Below are 23,406 nucleotides of genomic sequence, written 5' to 3'. Positions count from 1 at the left end.
AGTTCACTGCCTTGCACACCATGAAGTCTCTATAAATATTTGGTGAATTACTGAGTGAATGTGAGAGGGCAATGAGGGAAAATGGCAACATAAAGCAGATGAAAGAGAGAGCTCCTGAGAGTTGACTCCTTTGTTTGTTACTTTACCTGTAGGAGAAAAGCAGTCAGTGGGCATTAAATTATGTTAAAGTCACCCTAAAGTAGAGGATGGCAAACCTGATCCTTATGTATTTCCAAGCCTGGGCAGAGAGATCTTCCTGTATTTTCTTGGGGGAAAGTACGTTGGCTTTGGAGATGCTCCAAACCAGATTCCAGGCAGTCGTCAGCAGCTGGGATAAATCAGTTATGGTTCCAGATTAAAATTTAAACTCAGAGCTAACAAAAAGGCATTGATGAAACCACAGCAGAATTTGGAGACAAAATTGTGTTAAATGCCATCATAGACCTTAGATGTCTGCTAGTACTAAGATCGCTATATACGATTATGAAGAGTGTAAGACTAACATATCAGTTATAGGACATCTAGGAGTACATTGCAACACTCCTAATAACTCTACCATTTTTTCAACAACAGCTTCTGATACAGCTTTTAAAGGACTAAATGAATTAATACAAGTTATGTTTTTTCATTTTGTATGGCCTCTTGCTGTTTAAAGTTTTATAAAAAGTGAAATACATAAGATGATGACACTTGGAAGAAAGATGGGAGGCAAATGACCTTGGAAGAAAATCAATAGCTGATTTAATTTTTGAGAAAAATAGCATTATTTAAAGAAAATGTTCTGCAATTTTTAAATTTATTTTTATTTTTTATTTTTTGAGACAGAAATTTGCTCTGTCACCAGGCTGGAGTGCAGTGGCACGATCTCAGCTCACTGAAACCTCCGCCTCCTGGATTCAAGCGATTCTCATGCCTCAGCCTCCCGAGTAGCTGGGATTACAGGCAAGCGCTACCACACCCAGCTAATTTTTGTATTTTTAGTAGAGACGGGGTTTCACCATGTTGGCCAGATGGTCTCGATCTCCAGATCATGAACAGCCCACCTCAGCCTCCCAAAGTGCTGGGATTACAGGCGTGAGCCACTGCGCCCAGCCAATTTATTTTTTAAATTGTTATATTTGTGCTCCAAAAACGTAGAGTGTAATATATTAAGATTTTTAATGTTAGCTTTAGTAATGACTGATTGGAAAAATGTAAAATATACCTATAATATTGATAGCCTCACTTCTCTTAATATTGAATTATTACATATAGTAACCTACTGATTAAATCAACAAGGTATCTTAAGTTCTAGCTAACAGTATGACTTGCATGCAATCTACTAGGAAAGGCAGCTTTCTATTGGCAGGTTTTTTTCATTTTTTTTTTAATAAGGAGGGGTAATAATATATTGGCTGGAGAATCATTGAAATTTTGGAGCGTATTTTATTTCAGTGATGGATAAACATGATCTCAATACATTCTTTCTGTACCTTTTTTAATGGTCCTTCTTCCTCAAAAGCCTTCCAGATTTGTTTGTGTTCATTTGGAAGCTCATTTATGCCTGGTTTGGGCAGAGGACACACCTGTGTTGTTGTTTATTCCTGTATCCTCAGCAGCTCATATAGTGCTTAACATGCTGGAAGGGAGAAAGGAATGAGTAAATGAAAGAATTTATTTTTTGTTGACATGTTTAAAATATGCCCGACTCTTTCCTTGAAAGAAAAGTGATAAGCCTTAAAGTTTTAGAGCCATGATCATTTTACTAGGGGCAAAGGTTTACTAATATTAATGTACGTATATTGAATCCTTTTTTTGATTATATTTAGCCCTAAAGCATGTTGCAATGAGAATAGAGAACACACAAATAAATTGTGTGACTTAAATTTGCAGAGGCAAATGATTATCCGTCGTATCCTGAGAATATATAATTTTTTAAAAGCTTAGGAAAAATGAGTTTAATATTTGTGTCTATTACTATATTTAGGCCAAAAACTCAGACATATTTTAATTGAACTAGAGGACGCTGTGCCAGATGACTGAATCATCACATAGTGAGTGAGGAGATATCACCTGTGAATAGAAGCCCTGCTTCCCGCTCACTTGCTTAGCTAACAAGACCGGGAATACACTGCCATCTACCTCCCTGTTTACTTCAGATCTTCTGTTCCAAGAGAAGCTTACAAGGCTTTTTTCATCCCAATTTAATTATTTTAAGTTTTTTTTTTAAATGGTTTTAAGAGCGGAGAGTTTAATAGGCAAGAAGGAAAGGGGAAGACAGAAGGAAGAAGCTCCCCTGTACACAGACAGAGGGATGGGTCTCCAAAGCCAAAAGAGGAGGTCCCCACCTTGCCACAGATACCAGCCAGGTATATATGCAGAGGCTGGAGGAGGCGGTGTTTGATTTGCATAGGGCTCAGGGGATTCGTTTGACTAGGCATGTCATTCACGTAAACTGCGAAAAAGCTGGCCCTCCCACCCTACCCTTTTAATATGCAAGTGCAGGGTGCCATGATTTTCTACACATGTGGGGATATGTGGGGGCAGCCATGTTGCCAGGAACATGTGGGGAAAGGGCAAGAAGGCCTCCATGTTTGGGTGGACCCAGTTTCTGATAGCCAGCATTTGCATATCAAAGGTTGCTGGCCTGGCTCTAAGAGCCAGGGCTTTACAAGAAACTTTTCCGGAGATGCTTTAAAAACCGAAAACTTCCCAAGGACACCTTTTCCTACAACGCTCCCTGCTGTGGAGATGCCACACTAACTGCTGTTAGGGGATTTTGGGCGGCGAATCTTTCCGGCTACTTCCGGCCGAAAAGGGGCATCGAATGGGGAACAGCAGCTAGCGCTCCTCCTGGGGTGGATCTAAGGGTCCTTAGAAGAATGGCATGTCTATGTGTGGTTCAGTTTACAGCACCATTTGGAGTTTGATTGCTTCAGTCTGATTATTGAATTTTCTTTCTTGGCGCATGCATCAAAATGATACGGCTCTGATGAGTGGAGGAACACCATGGTTCTTGGTCCTCATGCCGGTTTAAATAAAACGACACAGATACACGTAGGGTGGTTTTAAGGAGTGGAGAGTTTAATAGGCAAGAAGGAAGGGCAAAGACAGAAGGAAGAAATTCCCCCGTACAGAGACAGAGGGAGGGGTATTCCAAGCCAAAAGAGGAGGTCCCCCAAGATTTTTATAAATGCATGTATTTTCAGACTTTTACAAACTAATAATTTTTCAGAACTCAGATGCACTCGAAATTTCAACTGAAAAGTGAGTTGAGTATCAGAAATGGCATCAGTACTTTGCACATAACAGATGTGCAAATATTTGATTGATTCATTGAAACTGCTGAACCAGAAAACTGTTTCTATGGAGGCAGGAAGTTGAAATAGGGAGAGAAATATAAAGTTATCTTTGAATTAATGAGGAAGTGTAGAGGATACAGGGAGGTATACCAGGTAAGTGATGTGGTGCTAATGGTGGTAATAGTAGTGTGATAATTTTGATAGAGAGACAGGATGAGATTCCATGGAATGTCTGACATTTGAGATGAATCTAATAAGCAGAGTTGTGAAATATAAGGTCTGTTCCAGAACAGCTGAATAAAGTGTGGCACAGCTGGAGAATAGAAGATGTGAAGAAAGAGAGGCGGCGCTGAGTAGGGAAGTCAGACCAGATTTTATGGAGGGCCTTGAACTCCTTTCTAACGTATTTAGATTGCTTTTCCAGGCACTATGGAGTCATTCAAGGTTTTTAAGCAGGACGGTGAAATGAACAGATTGTGTTTTAGAAAACCCTGGTCACACATAGAGAAAGCATTAGCTTAGAGAGACCAGAGAGAGGAAGCTACTGCAGGAATCCAGGTGAGAAATGGTAAGTCTGACAGAGCGGTGGTGGCTGTGGGACGTGTAAAGACATTTTGAGGGTTGAATTTGCAGGATTTGGTGACTGGCTCTGTATGAGAAGGGGTAAAGAGACCAGAAGATGAGCTCTTACCTCCAACATGCTGGGCATTCTAGAGTGAGGTGATAGGTCTTTAGTCCACCCATGCATTCCACAAATATTCACAGCTCGCCTGTTCCATTGCAGACGTTGTGCTAGATGCTGGAGCTATGGAGATAAAAAAAGATATGGTCATTGTTCTAAAGGCATCTACAAGTATATACAAATTAAAATTCCTCACCCTTACAAAGTCAAAAAACTAGGGATAAAGTTGGATAAATATTTCAACATACATGACCAATATCCTTCATCTGTGCTCCATAGAGAAGTGGGTAGGTATCAATAGGCGGTTTATAGGAGAAGAAATCCAGGAAGAGAGACTTGGCTTTCCTAGTAATCTAAGATATTTGCAAAAACAAACAAAATGAAAAACATTTTGGAGAAAAGTCTGGAAGATTAATAAAAATGAAAAAGAATAATAATAACATAGTAACATATCCCAATTTTATAGGCTAGAACACACATACACATACACACAGAGTAGGAAAAATGAAAAGTATGTACACCATACACTTAATAGTGGTTCATCCCAAAAAATGGGGCCACAGATGTGGTAGTTTTTACTTAATTCTTTGCACTGTATAATTTTTTTTTACTTTAACCATCTGTTGCTCCTATAAGCTAAAAATAACCAATAATGCATTTTCTACTTTGGATAAAATGATAAAGAGTGCAGTGTGTAGAGGAGATGGGAGGAGAGCAGTCCTGGCAGCAGCAGGACACGTGGAAAGGAGTAGGAAGTGGAAGTGTGGGGCATTGGTGGGAGCCCCTAGCAGTTCAGCATCATGCAACCTCCAGTGTCAGAGGAGACAGCCAAGGAGTCATGCAAAACAGTTTAGTTCTTATCCTAAAAGGGACCAGGAACCAGTGACAGCTTTGGATCAGGAGAGAGACATGGCCCTGTGTGCAGATCCCTCTGGGGTCAGTGTGGAGAATGGATGAAGGGGGCTGATTGACAGCAGAGAGGTCACATAGGAGGCCTCTGTTAAAACACAGCAAGAGGTAATGAGGCCCCTGTGGCAGGAGGACCTTGGTCAAGTCAACTTTTGCAAACTTTGTGTTCCTTGATTGTCTCACTGTAAAACGGCAAGAAGAATAGCATTGATCTCAAAGACAGATAGATTATGAACTTAGTGAAGGTCAATTTTCAGGGCCCCTCACTTGCACTAGCCCAAATATTTCCCTTGACAAATCCTAATTCTAATATTTGTAATCTTCTGTTCTTTTTCGTTAATGGGACCTGAAACTATACAAGTTTCAGGCTTCATGAAACTTGGATCCATTTCTGACAAAGCGTGGGATTGCCATCAGAACAACGTGAGCTGATCCCTCAAGCAGGTGTGGGACAGTATCCAGCACACAGTACCTGCTCTAGCAGTGTTGGCTCTTTTTATTATGTGGAGGTGGATTAGGGAGACTGGATGCTTCTAAGATGATCCCTGGGAATTCTGACTTGGGCCACAAGGTGTTAATCCCTCAAATGGAGATTATTTAGTTTAAAAATGAAGGAATACAGGTTCAATTTTGGCTATGTTGGAGCTCATGGTACAGATAAAATAGTCAGTGGGTGTCCAGAAGTAGGCCAGGAAATGGTGAGGTATAGAGCTCAAGAGAGGTTAACGTTATACATTGGAGAATTATCCAAATAGAAAAGATAGTTACAGTCACTATTACTAATAAGAGGGTCCAGGGATAACGTGGAGAATGAAAACGGAATAGCGTTCAGGACAGAATCCTGGAGAACACCAACTTTTAGCAATCAGGAAGACTGTGATGGTGGTTCCATGAATCTATACACAGATATGTAAAACTTTATACTACTGCATACCGTCCCCCAGCCCAAAAAAAGAGTGCATGTAAAAACTGGTAAAATCAAAATAAGGCCTGTAGTTTAGTTAATAATACATACCAATGCTAGTTTCCTGATTTTCATAATGTACTATGGTTATGTAAGGTGTTATCTTTGAGGAAAGCTGGATGACGTACACTTAAAACTATTATTTGTGCATCTTATTATAGTATTTGTCTCAAAATAAAAAGTAAAAACAAAAACAAAAAACAACAACAACAAAAAAAACCAACAGGCTGCAACACTATCACTGCTGAGACGCTGAGGCATGTCCATTTTGGCAGAGCTGATTCGGTGTTGCCAGATAATTCAGAATTAAATACTGAGTGCTGACATTATTTCATGGCTATCTTGAGCAGTAATCTAATTTCAGGCTAATTTCACAAGAATGTGACCAACTGCATAAGCTAAAATAACTGGGACATTCTTGCCAAAATCTGCCTCTGGTCAATAAAAACCCCAAATCTTCATAGGGGAAAAAGGATCAAGCAAAGGCAGAGAAGAGTAGATGGGAAAATTCAGAGAAGGGGGAGGACCAAAAGGCAGCAGCTCAGCATTTCTCTAGAGTTCAGAGAGAGAGAGAGAGAAAGAAAGAGAGACAGACAAAAAGAGGGACAGAGAGAGAGAGAGAGAGAGATGCTTATTTAACTCAACACCTGATTTATTCCCAAACACTAGGAAAGAGAATTCCATTTAATTCCCATACTCTCCTAGAAAAAGTAAATAGGGAAAAATAAAATCAACTAGAAATCATTTTGGTTGTTATTGTTTTCAGAAAAAAGAATCATTACTCATCTTTAGACTGATCCTGTTCTCACAGATCGTCAGGCAAATACAAGGACTGTTTGAAATACTTTCGTTCCATGCCACTCAAAGTGTGGTCTGTGGACCAGTCCCTTGGGGCTTTCCAGAAATGCAGCCTCTCAGGTACCATCCTAGACCTATTGAATCAGAATCTGTCTTTTTTTTAAAAAAAATATTCAGAGGATGTGTATGCATGTTAAAGAGTGGGAAGCCCCGATTTAGCAGTTCTGCCTTTCACCATGTTAATAATCACCAGCAGAAAATTAGTTAATACAGAGGACAATTACTGCCAGCATTTTGGAAAATAATCTTACATAACCAAAAAGAACAGTGGAATAAGGTATTAATTTTTAGAGTCTCCTAGGAACAAAATCTCATTTAAAAAAAAAAAAGTATCCTCCACATTACAGTCTGCTTTCTTGCTGTTGGTTTTGGGCTAGCAGCTGAGGGGCAGCAAGCTGTGGGCTATCTTAGGCACCAAGCAAGCCCTGAGGGTTAGCCTGGTGGAGGAGTAGGGCTCCTCCTACTCAAGATCTACTCAAGATCTGCATGAGTCCAGATCTTCTCAGGTGGCCTCATGCAGAGCACACAGGGGAGAAAGAAACGAGGGATTCTGCATCCTGAGAGCAATGTCTCATTCAGAGCATGATATTGAAATGCACTTTTTTCAATAACTGAGTCACTACTGGACAAGTTGCTTAACAAAGATGTAGTGAATACATGTAGTCAGCTGTGACTCATTAGATCTGGGTATAGCTACACCCCTTCACAGCTGGTCACCTCCTGAGCCTCTGTTTCTTCTTCCATAACATGGGTATTTTTTTTTTTTTTTGAGATGGAAGTCTTGCTCTGTCACCTAGGCTGGAGTGCAGTGGCGTAATTGCAGCTCACTGCAACCTCCACCTCCTGGGGGTCAAGTGATTCTCCTGCCTCAGCCTCCTGAATAGCTGGGATTACAGGCGTGCGCCACCATGCCCAGCTAATTTTTGTACTTGTAGTAGAGACGGGGTTTTGCCATGTTGCCCAGGCTGGTCTCGAACTCCTGACCTCAGGTGATCCGCCCATCTCAGCCTTCCAAAATGCTGGGATTACAGGCGTGAGCCACCACACCCGGCTGACATGGGTATTGTTTGCCTGGGGTCTAGTACAAGGACTGCAGTGATAATAATGCCTGCCTACAATGGAGTGTCCTAGGCATTGCTCAAGGTAATTTTTGCACAGCATGCTGACAACCTTGAAACATCACACAGGCATAAAATCTTTTTATTATTGATATTCATGCAGTCAAGAATTTGTCTTAAAACCAAAGAGCAAAAATATCAATTGTAAATATCAACAGAGATTACAATAGTCATCAGTAATAGCTTTCTTACTATAAGAATGTTGTAGTATAATTAAAAATGTAAATAGTAGCAATAAATGCTTAGTAAAGTTTAGAAAGTTTTCAGTTTCAATTATCCATCAGAATGAAAAGGCGGTTTTAGGGTGATGCAAAGGGGCCAGGCGTGGTGTAAGCACTTTGGGGGTCTGATGCAGATGGATCACCTGAGGTCAGGAGTTTGATGCCAGCCTGGCTAACATGGCGAAACCCAGTCTCTACTAAAAATACAAAATTAGCTGGGCGTGGTGGTGGGCACCTGTAATCCCAGCTACTCAGGAGGCTGAGGCGGGACAATTTCTTGAACCCAGGAGGCAGAGGTTGCAGTCAGCTGAGAGCACACCATTGCACTCCAGCCTGGGCAACAAGAGGGAAACTCTGTCTCAAAAACAACAACAACAAAAACAACAAAAAAGAATGATGCAAAGCGATTGAAAAAAATTATATTAATGTTCCCTCTGGTGGTGCTTGTGTTTGAAAAATTTATGTATTCTATAATTCAAAACTTGTTTTCTTTTAGAGAGTTCAGAAATATCCTGAAAAAGACAGATTCTTTTGACTATTTGAGGTTCTGCTTAGTTTAATGTATTTTGTTCCCAAAAGTTTGAGGTAATACAGATGGCATGCATTTTTCAGAAGATTGCAATAAAAACATGTATATAAGTTGGTTTGCTTCCACCTGGAAACAGTTACATTATATTAATGTTGAAATTGATACAGACAGCATTATGAGGTTAATGTGCAATATCGTTACACCATGAATTTTAGCTCCATGATAGTATGTCTGTGTCTAATGTGAGTATTGGAGAAATATGACAGCTCCCAAGACATTTCTGGACAGAGTTGTCTAACCATCACAGATTTCCAAGTTATTACAGAACTTTAGAGCCTGCATGGCATCTCAAAAGGTTCTTTGTCTATGGAGGTATTAAAAGACTAACTACCAAGAATAGAAAAGGGTCACTTTCTGGTGAAAGTAGTGCCCACTCTAACATAGCAATATAAATATTGATGTGAAAATTCAGAGCTTAGTGGGGGAAGGGGGCAAGAGAAGAAGAATTCTTACCATATTTAGGCAGCAAACTTTTATCTGGCAAGTTGATTCACTTGCATATATGGCAAAACACATGCCTTTAAAGATTTTCACAGATCTCTAAAAACAGAGAGAGTAAAACCCAAACGGTAGTTATGAGAATGAAATGAGTTACTCTGTATACAAAGTGCCTAGCACAATGCCTGGTACTTGGGAGACGGTACAAATGCTAGTTCTTTTACTTCTTACTGTTCCCATATGCATAATTCTTCTCTTCCCCATCTCAGTATGAAATAGCTCCTAGTGTCATCTGGGGATTAGTTACCTAATCCCCAAATCTGAAAGACACTCTTAACACCTTCCTCTCTGCCTCATCTTCCTGCCCCCAAATCCAGTGAACTTACTAGGGTAGCTCTAACATTCATCATTCTAGAACTGCTGATTTCATTTGACATGTTTCCCTAATGGCAATGCAGGAATTTTCTCCAAAAATTTTCTCCACCCAGGCTGGAGTGCAGTGGCGCAATCTTGGCTCACTGCAACCTCCACCTCCCAGGTTCAAGCGATTCTCCTGCCTCAGCCTCCCATGTAGCTGGGACTACAGGCGTGTGCCACCATGCCTGGCTAATTTTTTGTATTTTTAGTAGAGACGGGGTTTCACTGTATTAGCCAGGATGGTCTCGATCTCCTGACCTCGTGATCTGCCCACCTCAGCCTCCCAAAGTGCCAGGATTACAGGCATGAGCCACCGCGCCCAGCCTAAAAATTTATTTTTAATCCACCTGGGTGATTGCAGAATAAAATTCAGCATCTACTATGTTCAAAGAGGTGTTTTTTTTTTTTTTTTTTTAAATTAACAACCTCTTACATAGTGTTTAGTGTTCTAGGCACTATCCTAAATGCCCTATACATACTGGCTCATGAAGCAGTTACTATCATTACCCTGTTTTAGCAGTGAGGACACAGATGACACAGATGAATACAGCAAACTTGCCCAAGGTCACCAAGCTGGCCAGTGGCAGATCCAGAATTTGGACTCTGAATTTGAACAGCTGGCTTCAGGATCTGTGCTCTTGACTACTGCAATTTGCTGTCTCTTGTGGAGTACAGAGCTTTGCATACGTTATTTTATTTAATCCCAAATACAATCCTATGAAGTTGTTACTGCTTTCTCAACAAGCCAAGTTGGAAACAAGCTTTGAGGGTAAGTGACTTGCCTAAGTTCATGTAGGTAGTAGGTAAGACTGTTAGGACTCAAACAGCTGCATGTGATGGTCCATGGCATTAAGTATATGTCTATATTTACAGCTAACCTGAAGAGGCCATCTCTAGCCTTGGCAAATTACTCTTTTTTCTAAGGTGTTTCAGATTTTTCCAAAGTATATTACCTCTTGGGAATTGGATAAACAATAAGACACTGTGGTATAAGAAAAACATGCTAAGGTTTTAAAGTCAAAGACTCCAATTTAAATTACAGTTTTACCACTTACTAGTCACAAGACCTTGACCGTGTTATGTAATGTCAATAAACCCCACTCCATATAATTTTGTGGGGGAGGAGTTTAAAGGCAATATAGGGAAACTAATCATGCTGAGCATACGGTATTCAACAAAATGTTAATTTCAATAAAATAACAGTTCTGAAAACAACCTTTGAGAACCTGGGCTTTGTCTGGTACTTGCTGTGGTTTGGAACATATTACATAAACTTTCTGAGCTTCTACTTCTTCATCTAAGCATAGCCACCTTATTTGTTCATTGGGGGTGGGAGGTGGTGAGATAGAATGATGAATAAAAAACAGTCAGCAGAAGACCTTCCACTTGGCCCCCCAAAACAATATTTATTAGTCTTATCCCCAATTTAATTTTGCAGAAAAGTTAATGGGAACTCTTTTTATCTAAAAAAGTTAATCAAATTCCAAAAGTCCTTTAACTTATTCTGATGGAGTAACTTAAAGACTTGGCAAGTAGGCTTAATATATATGTAGTTTGTGTGGGCTACTTAAAATACGATTTTCTTAGCATTTTAATTTCCACGTCTCCAGGACTGCTTAAGAAGTGCCCTGCTGTTATAATCAAACCTTGTGACTAAATATAGTTCAGTGATGCTCAGCTATGCTGTGATCTGACACTACAGGGACTTCTCTACATATAAATTAAACTAAGGAAATATTTTGGATTGCAGAACTGACTCTTTTAAAAGAAACAGGGATTCTCAAGACCTACTTGTGTCCTGAATGAGAGTTTTAAAAATGGCCAATAGCTTCTTTTTGTCAGTAATAGTAATACAGTACCAATTGTTCGAGCCAAACTGGGACTATGAGAAAAAAATAGGTAAATTCAACTTTCATTTCTCCTCTTCATATATTAGTCATGACAGCAACAAGTCTTTGCAGCTGTGTCAGGGAGATGATGGTTTTTCAAGTTAGTATTGCTTTACGAAAAAGAGCTTTATTTTTTAAAGACACAGCAGCAATTAGAAATCCAAACATGCAAAAAAGACTAAGAAATAAAGACCATAAAATGAATATGATTGAATAACAAAAAAACAAGAGTTTCTGGGAAGAATCGTTTGAAAATTTTAACTGTAAAAATATAAATGTTGGCGTATTTTTGCCAAATCTCATAAAATAGCAGGTTTTTCTTTTTTTTTCTATGAATAGTGACTTTGCTTATGAACATTTTATGAACTGACGCATTTAAATCTGTTTAGTATTGTGTTCCTGGTAATCAGCTATAATATCAGTTCATTTGGGCAATCAGGCTCGGATGGACCAGCTCCAAGAACTGAGAGTCCTGGAGCTGGAATTTCTGGGCCTCGATCTTTCCATCCAAAACCTTCATATTGCCAGAAAAGTGTTAGCTGTTCTGGAATGGGAATTCTCCCAAGACAATCAAGGATGTTCAACAATGAATTCCTGGTGTTCAGTGGATTTTGCCAGCAATTCATCACACATTTTTCTTCCTGGCTGCCCCCATAAATAACCTATTCATGAAGGGCTAGTGTCTGACTGATGATACAGTGAACCAGCACTAAAGATAGTCTCTTTATTCTTGTAATCCACAATTACATAGAATTTAAAAACCTTTTATAAGTATACAGAGAATACCTGAACATAACCAGTGATTATTTTAATAATGCATAATTCTTAACCACTTTGCTGTTTTGCCAAAGGGTTCTTTCACATTCCACTTATAGGTTCCTTTTATAAAAAGACAAGCAGTGTTTAAACAGAAGTTCTGTGGGTGTGACTTGCTGCAGGCTGCACAGCGTAGGACATTCCTCTTCTCCCCTGAATCCTGAATTTCAGCAGAATCCTTACCAGGGGCCTCAGGGGCTTTTTCCGAGGAGGCCATACCTTCACATTCTTCTAAGAAAATGACTGTTTCCAACAACTCGCCTCTGTACCAGCAAAGATGACTTGTGACTGGTCAGGTCTAATCTGCACTCCCAGAAAACTATCCCATGGGTGATGGCCATCAATGCGCAAGGGGCTTGAATTACAAAAGTTTCACTCATGCACTTGCCTCCTCAGGAAGCAGGTCCCAGATAAAGCCAACCATCCACCCTTGAAAAAAACTGATTAGGTATCCATGGTTGTAAGAGCGGGAGCATCCACGCTCTGCCTCACTCCAAGGAGGGTTCTTAGTTGATGGTTACCTGGACCCCCAGGGCAACCACAACCCTGAGAACCTAGGAAGTGCAGCCTTTACGAGGAAAGGGACAGTTGCCTTTCTCAAGTGGAGGAAGAATTTCTACATTAAGACATTCACATATTGGTGGGGAAAATAGGTTTGAGGGATAATGATTAAAACTGTCTTTAAAAGCACTTATCTTTACATTTCTTGAAATAAAGCACTTTTAATACACAGAATAACATATGAAATATTTTACAAATTTCAATTTAGTAAATCATGCACACTAACTTCCATGTATCCTCCCTTACTTATGTTGACAAAAAGAGTCAAACTCTGTAAGATATTTGAAGAGATTTATTCTGAGCCAAATATGAGTGATCGTGGTCTGTGACACAGCCTTCAGGAGGTCCTGAGAACATGTGCCCAAGGTGGTCGAGGTGCAGCTTGGTTTTATACATTTTAGGGAGGCATGAGACATCAATTAAATACATTTAAGAAATACATTGGTTCAGTCCAGAAAGGGGGGACAACTTTAAGTAGGAGGGCTTCCAGGCTACTGGTAAATTTAAACATTTTCTGGTCAACGGTTGAGTTTGTCTAAAGACCTGGGATCAACAGAAAGGGCAGGCTGTCTGGATTAAGACAAAGGATTGTGGAGACCCAAGTTCTTATTTGCAAAGGAAGCCTTCAGGTGGTAGACTTCAGAGAGAATAGGTTGTAAAATGTTTATCATGTGGGGGTCTGTCCCACAGACCCTGACCCAATGATGGATGAATAAAGTACACTGACATACAGCTATTCTGCTTTGCCAATCCAGCAGAGCGTCCAGGCTGCTTACAGACTCCAAGCAGAGTGCTGTAAAGCACGGCCTCGACCAGCCAGCGAGACTCGCCAGCAAGACTCGTATTTATTCAGTAAAGATTAATTGACAAAGGCTTGAGTCAACACCACTAGGGGGTAATTGATATTGTAGACTCCGGAGTAGAAGGCAATTAAGCACCCATAGTAGATCAAAAGTTAGTCTTAGGACCACATGAGTAAACAAGCTAGTTAGGTAAACTCTCCACATTCCTTTGTTTCTACTCTAATTTATTTAACTAAGGGGACAAGGCTGCCTTCAGCTAAGTACTATATGTAAAAACCCTCAGGCCTTCCCAAAGGATTTGTGTATATTCTCTATAACTTTTTCCCACCAGCCTGACTGAACCCCCATATTATCAGACTTAAAGTCTGTGTTGATGTTAATGCCAAGGAGCTATTACGTTAGTGCAAAGGTAATTGTGGGGTTTTTTTTGCCATTACTTTAATGAGAAAAACTGCAATTACCTTTGCACCAACCTAATATAATGAGTCATGTTTCGACCCCCACTTCCCATCATGGCCTGAAACAGTCTCTCAGGTTAAATTTTAAAAGAGCCCTGGCTGAGAAGAAAGTCCATTCAGATGGTTGGGGGGAGCCTTAGAATTTTATTTTTGGTTTACACTTACTAGAAACTTCTCATGATTTTACACTTTCACAGTTTTATGAGATGTTTATAAATTTACTTTGCTTTGTTGCAAGTAACATATATAGTAGGAGATATGTTGGCATGTCATTTTCTGTGCTGTTCCAATATTCCAAACCTTTATTTTTTTGACTGAAAATAGCTGTCCCTTTCCAGGCCTCACTGATTTCAGAGCAAGATTATGTTATGTGGATATTGAAAACAGATATGACCTCTTGGGTGTTTCCCACATTTCCTTTCTGGCACTCAGAATTGTATAGAGTTAGCTCTGCCATGATAACTTAATACAAAATACATGTTGTAGAGCTAGGCATGGTGGTGCATGCCTGTAATCCCAGTTACTCAGGAGGCTGAGGCGGGAGGATCACTTAAGCCCAGGAGTTTAAAGCCTTAGTGAGCTATGATAGTTCCACTGCACTCCAGCCTGGCAACAAAGCAAGGTGCTGACTCAAAAAAGAAAACCAACAACAAAAACATAAAGTATGTGTTGTGAACCCACATACCCACATCTGTTCTAAAGATCACTGCAACTCCATTATCAAGCAATTGCCTGATACAAAGCAGGTGCTTAATAAATATTGTTTGAATGAATGAATGAATCAATACAATCCTAAAGAGCAGACTTACTTTATCTCTCTCAAGATTTTTGTTGTAAACATTTCTACTTTTACCTTGTCTTCTTTACTTACATTTTCTGTTTCTAGGTCTAGTTTCCTCTTCAGCTATTATTAAAAGTATGCCAAAACTGAAATTTATTTTCTTGTGAAAAAAGATTAAAGAAGTAAATCCACGTAGAGTAGAATTGGCTGTAAAGAAGGCATACAGTTGGAGAATTAATCATGGGTCTCCAAGACCATGCTCAGAATTGACAGTTCACTAGGAGGACTCACAGGACTTAGGAAAGCAATTATACCCACAGTTCTGGTTTATTACAGCAAAAGAATATACATTAAAATTAGCAATGGGAAAAGGTGCACAGAGGCAAAGTCCAGGAGAAAACAGGCGCAAGCTCCAACATATCCTCTCTCAGTGGAGTGGCACAGGCATGCTTAATTCTTTTAGCAATGATGCATGACAACATGTGCAAAGTGTTATTAATCAGGGATGCTCACCTGAGCCTTGGTGTCCAGGATTTTTATTGGGGATCAACCTTATAGGCATGCAGTGCCTGTAGGGTTGACCTCCGCAACTCAGAATCAAGCTCCCACAGGCAAAAGGCATAAAAAAACCATTCTTATCAGAACAGAATATTCCTCAAGTGCAGAGGACAGTCCTGAAGACCAGGCCTTTCTTGGAACAGTGCAGGGTCTAAGCAATCAAGGTCTGCTAAGTTATTCACCTTTTCCTGGACAGCGTGAGATTACTTTTTTAAGGAAGGGATGCTCATGGTAGAACATCTTATGATGTAGAAAAAAACCTCCTTTATGCTTCTTTTGTTATAGTCCTCTACCTACAAAGGACATCAAATAGCTATTGTTAATCAACTAATTGGCTGATTAAAACATGACATAGGTTTTCTTTTTAATGACATGGTTTAAAGGGGGGAATAGAATTTAATCAACCAGCCCTCAATCTGATAAAATAGATCTAACCCAGTGTCATCTAAGGTTACTCTACTTCATAAAGTCTGTGAGAAAGAAAGAAAGCATCCTTTGACATCTGAATAGGCCTAGCTTTCCAGGTGTTGCCAGGAGTTGGACTGTTACCTCTGTCTAGGCCTTGGAGTTAACCAACTGAACATAAACAATTCACAGAACATGCATGTCAGACAAGACCACTCTGTGACTACTGAAGGATCAAGACAAAAACACAACCACTCTGAAATCATGTCTGAACAGAGTATTTGAATGTTGTCGAAACCACAAAAAAATGGTCAAACATCTGCCTGTCTTGGCTAATACGAGTGACTGCTGCTTCTTTCCTAATTACAGTTCTGGTGTGGCTCTCATCTTCCCTCCTAGATAAGGTTTAAAATCCCCGATCAAAGAATTATTCCTGATTCCTGACAGCGCCCAACCCAGAGCAAAGCCCAGTTCCTTATACCAAACCAAAATCACCTAACACAAGCCCAAATGCTATAATAGGGCCTTTCTAACACCCTTTTACCGAGATGTCTCCTAACTCCCCATGGTGTGTGTTCTCCCTCACTTCAATAAGTAATAAACCCAGTTTGCTAAAAACCTCCAGTGTATTCTTGGTTGTATTTGGCTGGAGGGCATTGACATTTGCTTTGAGCTTCCATTCCCACCTCTCATAGAAAATCTAATGCCTTCTTCAAAATGTCCAAGGGTCTCCCCAGGGGCTTACAGTCTCGAGGACATTTTTGGCTCTGAGCCTTTCCTTTCCCTAAGGAGCTCAGTTCATGGGTTCTCTCAGCATCATTCTTCGTCTCATTCTTTACATATTTGTCTTGCTCTGTACCATGTAAACAAGATGAATGGTGAGCCTTTTTCCTACATTTCTAGACAAAGCAAAATAAAACAAAACAAGACAAAACACAGCATTTTTTGGCAAACTGCTCTAAAGTATTCAGAAAATGTAGGCTTCATACATCACAACAGCAAAAGCAACCTCAAATGCAAAATTTGGAAATTTCGTTCTGAGTCTTTTGTCAGTCTATCATGTTGCTTGGCTTTTCCTCTCTTCTCAATTTTTAAATTTTCTATTTTTGAGACAGGTTCTGGTTCTGTCACTCAGGCTGGAGTGCAGAGATGTGAACATGGCTCACTGTAGCCTTGACCTCCCAGGCTTGAGAGATTCTCCCACCTCAGCCTCCCAAGTAGCTGGAGCTACAGGTGTGTGCCACCATGCCTGGCTAATTTTCAATTTTTTTTTTTTTTTTTGGAAACGGGATCTCCCTGTGTTGCCCAGGCTGGTCTGGTCTTGAACTTCTGGGCTCAATTGATCCTCCCACCTCAGCCTCCCAACATGTTGGGATTATAGGTGTGAGGCTACCACACCTGGCCTCTTCTCAGTTTTCACTGCTTCTCATTCCCTACTCCACTTGTGCAAATCTTTGCTCATTTGTAATGTAGTGACAGTATTACAAAATGCTGTGTAAGTATTCTCTCATTTATCTGTCTGATTTTGCCTGTGTCCTTGGTGACTCATCTTGAATCTAGGTGGCTTACCAATGTATTTTCCTAAAGGAATGCAGTTATTAGAAGAATTTTGGTGTCTGGTTTTAAATCCCACTCCACCACTCTGTTACACATATAATAGAAAATAAGATAGCCAACCCAGTAGCCTATTTATAACATAATATAAAAAGTACAATTTAGCTAGTACCAAGTCAAATTAGGTTAGTAAGAAATGTTAAAGGAATTGTTTTCCATTTTTAATCAGTAAATTGCCCATCATCCACTATATTTGGTCTGTAAGAGGAAAGTTATACTTTACTAAGAACATCACAATTATTGATCTTTTGTCAAATGCATGCTTTTCATATAATGTAGAGTTCAAGAAAGAAAAAAGTAATGAGATCACAGGTCAGAAACCTTACCTCATGTACAACTTTTAGAACATTATTAAAACATTAACCCTCAACATAATGTACTCACAAGGAGTTTTAGTTTACATCGAGTCATCCCACTGATTTCAACATGAGCTTGGAGCAATTCGGTTATATCATTAGTGATAACCTAAGTTCACTTCATGAGATGGATACCCTGACATCTAACTCAATTCATGGCTAATTTGGACATTTCTCATTTTAATGATATTCATCATTATGTGATATACTCTCTGGGTTTTCTAATACCCACTGACAATATTATATAATAGATGAAAAGAAAAAATACTATATTTTCAGCATGTGAATAAAAGAAATGACAACCTGAATGAAATTGAATCTAGCATAATTTATGATTGAAACTTTTAGCACATTCATCTAACTAAACTACAGGCTTCTACACAAAAGTCTTTAGCATAATCACCCAGGATTTGTAAGTATAATGGGTATTGCATGCCTAAAACCCAAATAGGCATATATCATTCCTAAAGTCCATTAACAAGTAGATTTTTCTTCCGAGAACATTTACGTTATTAAAATAATGCTATGTATACTACTACTGTTTTATTAATGGCACTGTGACAGGGTTACAATAGTGTTCATATTTACCAATTTTTGTACAGTGAAATAAATTCTTTGCCAAGAGAAAACAACTTCATCAATCTTAAGGAAGACAGACTTTAAAAAACATACAGATTTGCTTAGAACCAAATTGATCTTTGCTAATCATTAAAGAATGTCAGCAAGAAGAGAAGAAATTCATGTATTACTACCAATATTTATTGAGTGCAAACTTTTTTTTTTTTTTCAAAATTAGAGATGAGGTCTTGTTTGTTGCCCAGGGTGGTCTTGAACTCCTGGTCTCAAGTGATCCTTCTGCCTCAGCCTCCTAAAGTACTGGGATTACAGGTGTGAGCTGCTGCACCTGGCTTGAGTGCCAACTTTAAATGAGTTACTTCAGTTAATTTAGGTAACCACCCTGTGAGGCAGATTCTATTATCACATCCCCATATTACAGATGAGAAAACAGGTCAGAGTGTTTAAGTGGCAACAACTGTGAGATGAAGGTGGCTTCAAACTCGGGTTCTTGGATTCTAGAACTAGTGGTCCCAGACTCTCTGCTACAAGTATGTGATGTAAAAATATTTGACCGGGGTATGTATACCACTGGAGGTATGCAGAAATTTACAGGGATATAAGATAAGATAATCAATACCCAGATTTTAATTTTTTATGTGCTATTTCCTAGTATCTTTTTTCCTACTCCTCCTTTCACACTAAAACTTTTCCCACTTTATGCAAGAAATACACAGCTCCCTAAATCTTACTCTGGTGCATTACCCAGGGGTAAAAGCCCCAAAAGTGCCATGATTTCAAAATATTGTTCTCTTCTATAATGGTATGATGGTAATTTTCATTTAAAGACCTCAGCCACAATTATTCACTAGTTTTAGAGAATTATTTTTTTTAGAAGGATCTGGTAAGAAAAAAAGACAGGGGAGAAAAGTTAGAAGTTAAGTGACAGCAGCTGGTTTTTAGCCAATTATTCCTATCCTGAGATGGCCAGGTGGAAATGACCAAATCAAATCTCCTTGTAAACATGCAAGGTATATTCTGGTGGAAAGAGAATGGGGAGTCCTTGTCTATGAAATGCTTTTTAGCAGGGTACACCTGGTCTGTCTAGATGGCCTAAGGTAAATAAACCCGGAATTGATCGATATATTAATACATGGAATGGCCCAGTGGAAAATGTCAGTGTCCACCATGTAATTATTTCAGTATAAAACGGAGATAGTTCCTGACTGAAAGAGCTCCATCTGTGTAAGTGTTCACCGGCATAACTTACTCAGAGACCTCACCTGCGAGATCTAAGCCAGAATGTGTTCTAAGGAATTCGGGGAAGCCCTGGGGACCTGGGTTAGTGGTTTTGGATACTGCCATTATTTTCTTGTGACTGGGTAAAAGAAAGCTCTGAATCTTGTCAGTCTGATTTGACAATCCAATCCTTGTTTTACCTCAATAAGATATATTAAATGTTAAAAATGGCTTTTTACATGTTTCCAAATATACGCAATTATTTTCTGCTAATCTCAAGCACCCCTTTGGCCTAAGCAGATCCAAGTTTTGTGATGCTTGCAGCTTTCACAGTTTGAATGGCCTTCTGTAGGAAAATAATAAAAGTGAATCAAAAAATTACTAATTTAAAAAAGCTGACGAATACTACAGATACCACAAAATCCAGAAAAATAACATCATTCTATTATTCAGGTGCTTGGCACAGCCCATAATACTTTCCCCCACCTTTCTTGGCTCTATGCTGATTGCTTCTTCATATGAAAATGATTTTGCAACATATTCCACAGAGATAACAGATAATTCAGTTTTTCCTCTAGCATAGTTTATCAAGATTAGCTTTTTAATATAATTTAGGAAAGCTCAGTTCAGCTTCATAATTCAGTATTAAGAGTGTCACAGAATTTCACAATTATCGAATTTGGAAGGACCACTAATACAGGTTTTGACCAGGTACTGAGGAGCAAACCAAATCCTTTGCTTACACTTTTCTACAGATGAGCTTCTGGCCCTGTTCACTTTACTTGTTCCTTCTACCACATCCTTCTGGTACTGGGCACTGTAGGACCCAAACAGAAAGCAATATGGTGCCTGGCCAGTGTCTTTCTGTTTGGATGCCAGGTAATTCTGCAGTCAGTAGTACGAATATTCCTAGAAGTCAGCACTAGACTACTATGGCTAGCAGTAACTTAACCATACGTGGAAGCTTCTGTGAACATAAACATACCTCATAAAACAAAAATTAACCACACTGACTTACTGCAGTTTTTTGCTTGTTTGTTTGAGACAGAGTTTTGCTCTTGTTGCCCAGTCTGGAGTCAATGGCACAATCTCGGCTCACGGTGACCTCCACCTCCCGGGTTCAAGTGAGTCTCCTGCCTCAGCCTCTTGGGTAGCTAGGATTACAGGCATGCGCCACCACGCCCAGGTAATTTTGTATTTTTAGTAGAGACCGGGTTTCTTCATGTTGGTCGGGCTGGTCTCGAACTCCCGACCTCAGGTGATCCGCCTGCCTCGGCCTCCCAAAGTGCTGGGATTACAGGTGTGAGCCACCATGCCTGGCCTGCAGCTTTGTAGTTAAGTTTTGAAATTGGAATGTGTCAGTCCTCCAACTTCATTCTTCTTTTTCAAGATCTGTGTGTGTGTGCTCATGTGGCTATTCTGGGTCCTTATATTTCCCTGGATTGTATGAATTTTAGGATCAGCTTGCAAAATTCTGCAAAAAAGTCATTTGGGATCTTGACACGGATTGTGTTGCGTCTGGAGGTCCATTTGAGAAGTACTGCCATCTTCCCAATATGAAGTCTTTCAACCCTTTAACATGGGATGTCTTTCCATTTATTTAGGTCTTTAAGTTCTTTCAGCAATGTTGTATGGTCTTCAGCATACAAGTCTTGCACTTATTACATTTATTTCTAAGTATTTTATTCTTCTTGATAATATTATGAATGGAATTAATTTCATTTTTGAAATGTTCATTGCTAGTGTATAGAAATACTATTGATTTCTGTATGTTGACCTGTTGTCCTGAATCCTTGATGTACTCATTTATTAGTTCTAACAGTGTTGTAGTAAATTCTTTAGGGTTTTCTATATATAACAATTTTGTGTATAGAAATTCTACATGTTTTAAACACATTCATCTTTATGGCTGTTGGAAATTTAAAAAATTCTATTTAAATGTATGTACTTTTTAAATGTAAAGAAGTAGAGTAGATGACCAATAAAAGATTTCCTTTCTTTTTTTGGTGGGGGCCAGGGGGTACAGGGTCTGGCTCTATTGCCCAGGCTGGGGTGCAGTGGCACAATCTCAGTCACTGCTGCCTCTGCCTCCCCAGCTCAGGTGATCTTCCTGCCTCAGCCTCTGGAGTAACTGGGACTACAGATGTGTACCACCATGCCCAGCTAATTTTTGTGTTTTTTTGTAGGGACGGGTTTCGTCATGTTGCCCAGGCTGGTCTCGAACTCCTGGGCTCAAGCGATTCTCTTGCCTCGGCCTCTGGAGTAGCTGGGACTACAGGCATAAGCCACCAAGCCTGGCCAATATTTGCAAGACTAAAGAAATATTGACATACAATTTCACAATATGGAACGGAAATATGAGTTCAAGAAGAAAAGAAATGATGTAAAATTTCCTTCTGTTAAAAGCTTGTTCATGTAGTTTTAAAAATTGATGATTTTAGATATTAAATTGGTATTTAGATTCCACTGGCTACATTTAAAAGTTATATAACTTTTATTTTAAAATGTTAATTTATAATAAAACAGAAGTTGCTTCTTTTGTAACTATTTAAGTCAGATGAGAAATTGTGATGGTCAATCCAAAAACGTGGAAGTGAGAATACAGTCATAGTCTTTGGGGACTCCTTTGGGGGTATAAGAGCAAAATCATTTTGAAACCACTGTATTAATATATTCCTAATAGGTTTTGCTTTTTGGGATGACTGACTGCTACCTTTCTGAGATTTGAGGGAGTCACTTAACTGGTCCTAAGGCCAGGCGCGGTGACTCACGCCTGTAATCCCAGCACTTTGGGAAACTGAGGCAGGTGGATCGCTTGAGGTCAGGAATTCGAGACCAGCCTGGCTAACTTGAGGTCAAGCTTTCAAGACCAGCTTGGCCAATATGGTGAAACCCCGTCTCTACTAAAAATACAAAAATTAGACGGGAGTGGTGGTGCACAGCTGTAATTCCAGCTTCTCTGGAGGCTGAGGCATGAGAGTCGCTTGAACCTGGGAAGCAGAGGTTGCAGTGAGCCGAGATCATGCCACTGCACTCCAGCCTGGGCAACATAGTAAGACTCTGTCTCAAAACAAAACAAAAACACAACAACAACAAAACTGGTTCTAAATGCTCCGGGCAAGTACATACTGCTTTTTCTTTTTTCTGTTTTTTTTTCCCTAAGGCAGCCCTATTGAAGAGTCTGTCATCTACAATATTTTACTAATTTAAAAACACTTGTCAAGAAGGGTAAAGTATGTTCATCTTGATTTTACTCTTTGTATCCCGGAATCAGGAACTAACAGTTTTATGATAGTGATATAGACTTTACACACACACCAAGACTTAAAACACGTGGTGCAGGCGGGCTTTTGGAAATTAACTGTGCTCTGGATACAGAAGTCACAAAGCTCAGGCTGCAGAGACATTGAGGGGATAATCAGCCTTTATTGTCTCTCGTGCACTGTGCCCAGCGCTCCCTCTAGCGGCTACAAGCGCTCACTGCCCACACTCTCTACTAGGCTCTCCGGAGGCCTCGGTTTCGCTGGAGAGAAAGAGATTGCGCAGGCGCCGAGCAGCCGACGTGGCCGCAGGGGACCGTGCCTGGGGGGGTCTGCGCGGGGCCGCTGACTCGCGAGGTTCTCTGTCGCCTGCCGCCCTCGCTCCTTTTCTCCCCTTCTAGAGTGTTACGGTGACTCTTGGGTCCGAAGGGGACGGACGTCCTCCCACGTACCATTTAGAAGGTCAGAGTGGGCAGAACCTAGTCTGAGCAGGCCGGTGATGAATCCGCTGGCAAGACGCGCGCGTGGGTACTCACGTGACCTAGGCTGCGGCGGCGGCGTGCTGCGGGCTCTGTGGCGGGAGCGAGGCCGACGGGCGGGGCCGCGCGGCCGCGTGACGCGAAGCGTTCGAGAG

At 40.1% G+C, this 23,406-nt stretch overlaps 1 protein-coding gene and 1 long non-coding RNA gene across 6 annotated transcripts in view; one reads left to right on the top strand and one right to left on the bottom strand.

Moving 5' to 3' along the window:
* Positions 1-23,406, top strand: part of SPART (spartin) — a 68,543-nt gene that overhangs the window by 365 nt on the left and 44,772 nt on the right. For 2 of the 4 annotated variants that reach the window (NM_001142295.2, XM_005266314.4), the window contains exon 1: positions 23,072-23,234. The exons of 1 other annotated variant lie outside the window; for it this stretch is intronic. The gene's annotated coding sequence lies outside the window, so the exon portion shown is untranslated. Of the gene's footprint in view, positions 1-23,071; positions 23,297-23,406 lie in introns of those variants that run through there. One more of the 4 variants, XM_047430211.1, reaches the window with a different exon arrangement.
* SPART-AS1 (SPART antisense RNA 1) lies at positions 81-23,385 on the bottom strand. 2 transcript variants are annotated; one of them, NR_045180.1, is made up of 6 exons: positions 23,309-23,385; positions 9,076-9,162; positions 4,212-4,316; positions 3,973-4,086; positions 1,473-1,618; positions 81-328 (listed from the first exon to the last, which is right to left on the bottom strand). It is a non-coding gene; the product is annotated as an SPART antisense RNA 1 (long non-coding RNA). The 2 variants fall into 2 exon arrangements; NR_045181.1 differs by lacking the exon at positions 9,076-9,162.

This window comes from Homo sapiens, chromosome 13 (assembly GCF_000001405.40).
Source record: "Homo sapiens chromosome 13, GRCh38.p14 Primary Assembly".
NCBI classification, from domain to species: domain Eukaryota; kingdom Metazoa; phylum Chordata; class Mammalia; order Primates; family Hominidae; genus Homo; species Homo sapiens.
The sequence above is the reverse complement of the archived record's forward strand: the minus strand, read 5'-3'. Positions and strand labels throughout refer to the sequence as shown.